This window comes from Homo sapiens, chromosome 21 (assembly GCF_000001405.40).
Source record: "Homo sapiens chromosome 21, GRCh38.p14 Primary Assembly".
Taxonomy (NCBI): Eukaryota; Metazoa; Chordata; class Mammalia; order Primates; family Hominidae; genus Homo; species Homo sapiens.
The window spans coordinates 37,600,250-37,606,420 of NC_000021.9; the positions used below are offsets into that span (position 1 = coordinate 37,600,250).

At 45.9% G+C, this 6,171-nt stretch overlaps 1 long non-coding RNA gene across 1 annotated transcript in view; it reads left to right on the forward strand.

Moving 5' to 3' along the window:
• The window catches only part of KCNJ6-AS1 (KCNJ6 antisense RNA 1), a 222,067-nt gene that overhangs the window by 81,614 nt on the left and 134,282 nt on the right, over positions 1–6,171 (forward strand). The window lies entirely within an intron of this gene.

Consider the following 6,171-nt stretch of genomic DNA (forward strand, 5'->3'; position numbering starts at 1 on the left):
CTTTTGCCATATAAGATAACAGTCACAGGTTCTGAAGATTAGGAAGTGAATCTACATGCAGGGGCCCCTTGTTTTGCCTGCCACCACCACCCTACTTCAAGATGGCACCCTTTCCCCTCCAGCTTCCTTTCTCTGCTTTATTTCCTCTCATAACATTGGGAATAAGGAAACAGAAAGCTCCAGGGTTTCTTAGCAGTCAGTCCCTGGAGTTGGTGAATTTTAGGCACTAAAATGCCCAAGAACTGTAATGCACCAAGAACTGATGGCCTCTGTATTGGTCGGGGTAAAGAAGCCACTCAATGGATTTCAGGTCTGAAGGGCTTAGTTAGGGAGTTAGGGGCTTGCCTATCTCCTGGGAGAGCTGGAGGAGAGAAGGTCAGGACTTGTCTCTCCTGAGGCACTGAAATATCTGGGTTTCAGAAAACTGGAGTGACTCCCAGGGTCTCTGGGCAGTTTGCAACAACTTTCTCCAACTGCAGCAGCAAAGTAGGCGATGTCGAAGAGTTTACCAGATGGCCGTGGAGTCTCATGTGTCTGCTTGCAGCTGTTTTGGGACAAGAGGGGCTTCTCCTTCTCTCCTCTTTCTAGGCTTCACACAAGTTCCTCTCATGGACAGACTCACCCAGAACCAGACAGGGATGGAGAGTTGGTAAAGGTAATTCCTGGCTTCCTTGAGATGCAAAGGGGAGTGTAGAAGGTAGTGGCACTGGTGATGCAGGCTGACCTCCCATCTCCAGCCCCACAAACAGTGGGGAATCATTCGCATGTCCTCACAACACAAGTGTCACCGTGTTTATTTCTCAATACTTCTGCTTATCTTTAAAATGCACTCATCCATTCGTTGGCTAGAATAGATTGAATGCTTACTCTGGACAAGGCATGGCTTCCACTGAAATGCATGTCTGGCTCATATATTTGCTCTGGGGAATTCTTCCCTAGATCTCCTTTCCCTTACTCTCTGCTCTTCCCTCACTTTCTTCTCTTTTCTCCCATTCTTTCATTTTCTTTCCCTTTTTCTTTTCTCCTGATTCAATGGTGAACTTTTGTGAAGTCCCGTTTAAGTCTTCATTCACTCAATTCATAAACATGCCTTCCCTTTTTTTCTGTATCATTCAAGGATTTTGGATGCAAATAAGAAAGCTTGAACTCTGGTTGGGAAGTAAACTCTACATTTTGAACTGCATATACTCATTGTCATGTCCTCTGTTGGAAGTGCTATTCCCTTGGGTACCAAGATCTCTAAACAAGCAGACCCTATAGGTTGTAGGATAAGATGCAAACATTTTGCAAATGGGTCTTAGATGTAGTCCTGAGATGCCCCATCTCCACTTCCTCTCCTTCTTCCCATTCCCATGTCTTCCCGTAATGGGAGAAATAGTCTCATATCACACAGGTCACTGGCTCAGCATGCACACTGTATCCTGTGAGATGGCCCTCAATCTTGCAGGGTGTAGCCTCCCAGTTGATGGTGTAACTGAGTCTTCAGTAGGCCTCTTCATGAGCCTAGCTGATTGTGAATAATGGGTACATGGTCAGGCTTGTGAATTCCATAGGCACCTGGTCATTGCCTTAGTTCTTCTGCTGGTGTGATACCAATAATGTGATAAAGTGAATCCTTGTTCAGAAGCAGTGTCATGTCTGATACTGCGACAGTAAGAAAGGTGACCAGTAGGGCCATGTGCGATGGTGTTGGTATAAGTGAGGGTGTTGGAAAAAGCAAGCCGAAATCAGAGTAAGAGTCTCTTCCAGTGAGAATGTATTGCTGGGGTGATGGAGTCCCAGTGAAACAACTGGTTGCCAGGTAGCTGCCATATTGGTCTAGAATTGAGTGTTCACACGTGGTTACTGCATTGGAAAATTAAGTACTCAGTGGTGTAGCAGCTGAGTCAGCCTTGGAGAAGGAGCTGTCTGTATTTTTGAGCTCATGAATAGGATCCATCCTGAAACCATGGTCCCTTTGTTGCTGGGTTCCCAAGCAAGCACAATGATGGTTGGGGAGGTTGGTGATTGACAGTCATAGGTAGCAGGGCCTTAATACAAATGATCGGGACCCTTCTCCGCAGTAAAGACTTATTGGTGAGCATTTGCGTGGACCACAGGTATTCGCACACCCAGCGCTCATTCCTAAGGGTCTTCTTTCTGAATTTATTGACGCCAATCATCCAACTGTGCTTCTTCCAAGACCCTGGCTGCCCAGTCAAACCAATAGTCACTGCCTATGTTCTGGTCTAGCTATTTCTTCCCCTAGGCAAAGTAGACAATGAGAGAACCCTTGAAGTTATGTCTACTAAAAATATTTACCTTCTCCACCATCTTTCAGAATCATCTCTGGTTTGTTTTGGGAAATGTTTAACAACAGGCTCTCTGGAAAAATAGAAGCTGTAATTTGTAGTATTTGCCAATTTCTGTGGTATAAATATTCCCACAGTCACCAGTCTCAAGCTACTGGCTTGACGTCACTGACTGCAGAGTTGGGAAGAGAGGTGCCATTGTCTTCCATTAGATAGCATTTCCACCAGGCATATACAATAGATGTCAGTGACCTCAAGAACAGAGATAATAGTGAAATACATAAAGCGATGAAGAAGAGATGAATTTTGAGTATTTTTTTTAAATCTTTGTTTTAAAACATAATTTATTTAATTGTAAGTTTATATAATTTTGTTTTTAATAGTGGTTGTGTTTAACAACCAGCCTGCAAAATTCCTGGAAGAATTTCGGTTGGCTCTTGTGAACTGGTCCCAGCCGGCTCCAGCTCAACACTGGCTGTAATGCTGCAGTGTTCGTCCCACTGCTGGCTGGGGCATACGTGGTTGGCAGTGCTACCAGTAAATTGGGCCCCTTTTTTTTCTCGCCAGGTAACTGGTCATAGAGAACTTCCCATGAGGCCTTAAGAGTGGATTAAGGAATGGGTAGCAGTGAAATGAGACTAAGCATGCCAGGAGTTTGCAACCCCTACCTCCACTTATGCAACTTTCTATGGTCTTCAGACCTGCTCAATCCCTGGCCTGTACATGCCATCCCCCCCAGCTGATGCAATGCTGCTGGGGTGCCCACTTGATGGCCAGCTGGGAGAGACCCAGCAGGACCTAGTATTAGTGGAGTGACCCTGCTAGGAGGTCACTCACCCCCAGTCAGCTGTTTCCTCCATCATTAGCCAGTGTTGTGCCCCTGCCAGCCTTGGCAGGGGTTGATTAACGTTCTTATACCCCCTCTGGCTCTAGCCTACTGACTCTGTCACCGTGTAGCTAATGATGGGGTAAATGCTGGTGTTCATTTCTTCCTTTCAATACAAAAGGACCCAGACATTAGATCATCTCACAGTGTTCACTATGTAACCAGCAGTATAACTTTCCATTCATTGTTATAATTGTGTGATACTAATTGTCATTTGTGATGTAATTTCGGACTAAATATTTAAATCTCTGAGCCTCTGTTTCCTCAGCTAGAAAATAGCTACTGATACTACTGATCTTGCAGGACTATAAGGATTAAATAAGATAATGTATAAAGAATGCCCTGCACCTATACATAAAAGTGCCAATGAGTGGTGGTGTTTGTAGTTGGGGTGGTTGTGCTGTGATACAGTCCACAAAGGGAAGGAGTCATCTGTTCACCTTGAGTCTATAAAAGTGAAAAAACAATGGTTTTTGAGACTGGCTTGACAAGAAAGAAGTTGGAAATGAGACCTGAAATGTATTGACCATAGCCTCTGGCAAGGCTACTCTGTCCTCACTTTACCCCGCTGTACTAGTGAAAAGCAATGGTTTGGGGAGCCACATTTCCCATTTTCTTGTCTTTGGGATTTCCTTGATGCTGGAGCACAGGGAGGCAGAGACTGATCTGCTCCAAGCCTCCTTGGGGGATGGAAGGTGGCCCACATGTCTTCTCTCTGGAGATGATTTCAGGATTTTGAGAGAAAATAAACATGGAGCTGTGATTTAGGAAAACTGTAAATCAAGCAGCTGTTGGGAAGACCCAAAGTGACATATTTATTTATAAGGGAAGAAAGATCATATTATATGAGCAAACATATAAAAGGATGTGTGTATTCGTGCTGGCTAAGGACAGCTGCCATAAAATATACACATATATTTTATGTGGGAGACACGTGCTGTTCCGAGTTCCTCCACTGTGCTCTTTGAGTCCCATTGGGTGTAACATCTGTCCATCCTGAGGGGCCCTGCCTAGGTGGTGAATGTGGAAGCGCTTGCCTTTCTGGGGTACATACTGACCTTAGGTGGTTAAATGTATCCTACTGGTTATAAGTACCTGGGTCACAGCCACAAGCAATAATTGGATAAAAGGACTCCTTTAGTTAATGTATACTAATTAATTTCACAGAAATCACCTGTAAGAGCTGATGTAAGTAGTGCGTTGTGTTTTGTCAAAATATGAGATAATTTGGTAGATTAAACATTTCTACTATAGATGGAAAGCACCCAATAATTCCCAGCTGGCAAAGAATGAAATTTCAAAGAATGAAATTTTCACAATATAATGCAACTGTGAAAGCAATAATAAAGGTTTCAGTGGCTGCTGTAGTCACCTGAATGGCGAACTCTGAATATTCCATCCAACCCCTCCCACTCAGCCACCCATCCAGTCACCCATCTACTCATCTATCCATCCATCCATCCCTCCACCCACCCGCCCAACCATCCATCTACCCATCCACCCATCCATTGACCCATCCACTCATCCACCCATCTACCCATCCACCCATCTACCCATCCACCCATCTACCCATCCACACATCTAGCCATCCACACATCTAGCCATCCACCTTCCCACCCATCCACCCATCTATCCATCCACTTATCCACCCATTTACCCATTCACCCATCCACCCATCCATCCATGTACCCATCCATCCACCCATCTACCCATCTACCCATCCAACAATCCACCCATCTACCCATCCAACAATCCATCCATCTACCCATCCACCCATCAACCTATCCACCCATCTGTCCATCCACTTATTTACCCATCTACCCATGCACCCATCCACACATCCATCCATCCACACATCTACCCATCCACCCATCCACACACCCACCTATCCACACATCTACCCATCCATCCACCCATATACCCATCTACCCATTCAACCATCCACCCTTCTACCCATCCACCCATCTACCCTTCCACCTATCCACCCATCCACTCATCTACCCTTCTACCCATCCACTCATCTACCCTTCTACCCATCCACTTACCCATTCATCCACTCATCCACCCATCCACCTTTCTGCCCATCCACCTATGCATTCATCCACCCATCCATATATCCATCCACCCATCTACCTATCCACCCATCCACCCATCCACCCATCCACCCATCCACCCATACACCCATCTACCCATCCACCTATCCATCCACCCCTCCACTCAGCCACCCCTTCATCCATCCATCCATCCATCCATCTATCCAATAAATAAGTACTGAACACCAACTAAGCTCCAAGCATTACAAAAGGTGCTGAGAACAAAGATGAGTGAGACCACCTTTGGCTGACAGAGAGCTTGTCATGTACTGGGGAAGACAGACAAGAGGAGTGAACACACAGGGCAGCGTTAGTTTACAGATCTTTGAAGACCCATACTTGGAAGCCTACTGGCTCCCCAGGGGAGTTAGGGAAGGATGTCTGAGTTCCCTGGATGGCTCTGAATTCACATTCCAGAAAGAAAGGAACAATATTGTCAAAGCCGAAGTGGCCTAAGAGGGTGTGCCCTGTCTAGGGAAAGTAGACATTTGATAAGGTAGGCTAAAAGGGGAGAGTTTTGGTCTGCAGAGGGGCCCAGGGCCCAGAACCTGCTGGTGCTGAGAGGCTCAGCTGAGGCGTTTGGACTGAATGCTGCATAGCAGTGAGCATTAACCTGTGCTCCGGTGGCAAGAGTCTTGGGGCAGTTGGGTTTGAGGGGTAGGGCTCTTAGCCTCCACCCATGCTGCAACCAAGCTCTCCACTTTGTCTGCGTTAAATATCGAGCTTCTGCTTGAGCTTTCCTTCAGAGCATAGTTTCTTTAATTTGAAAACTACCGGAATAGATGAAGAAGTGTCAGTATGGTTTTGACCAGGGAGTCGCTTTAGCCAATCCCTTGGGGGTAATGCAGAGGGTTGCCTCAGTGGCCAGAGAAAAGCAGAGATGGGGCTCTTCCCTGGATGC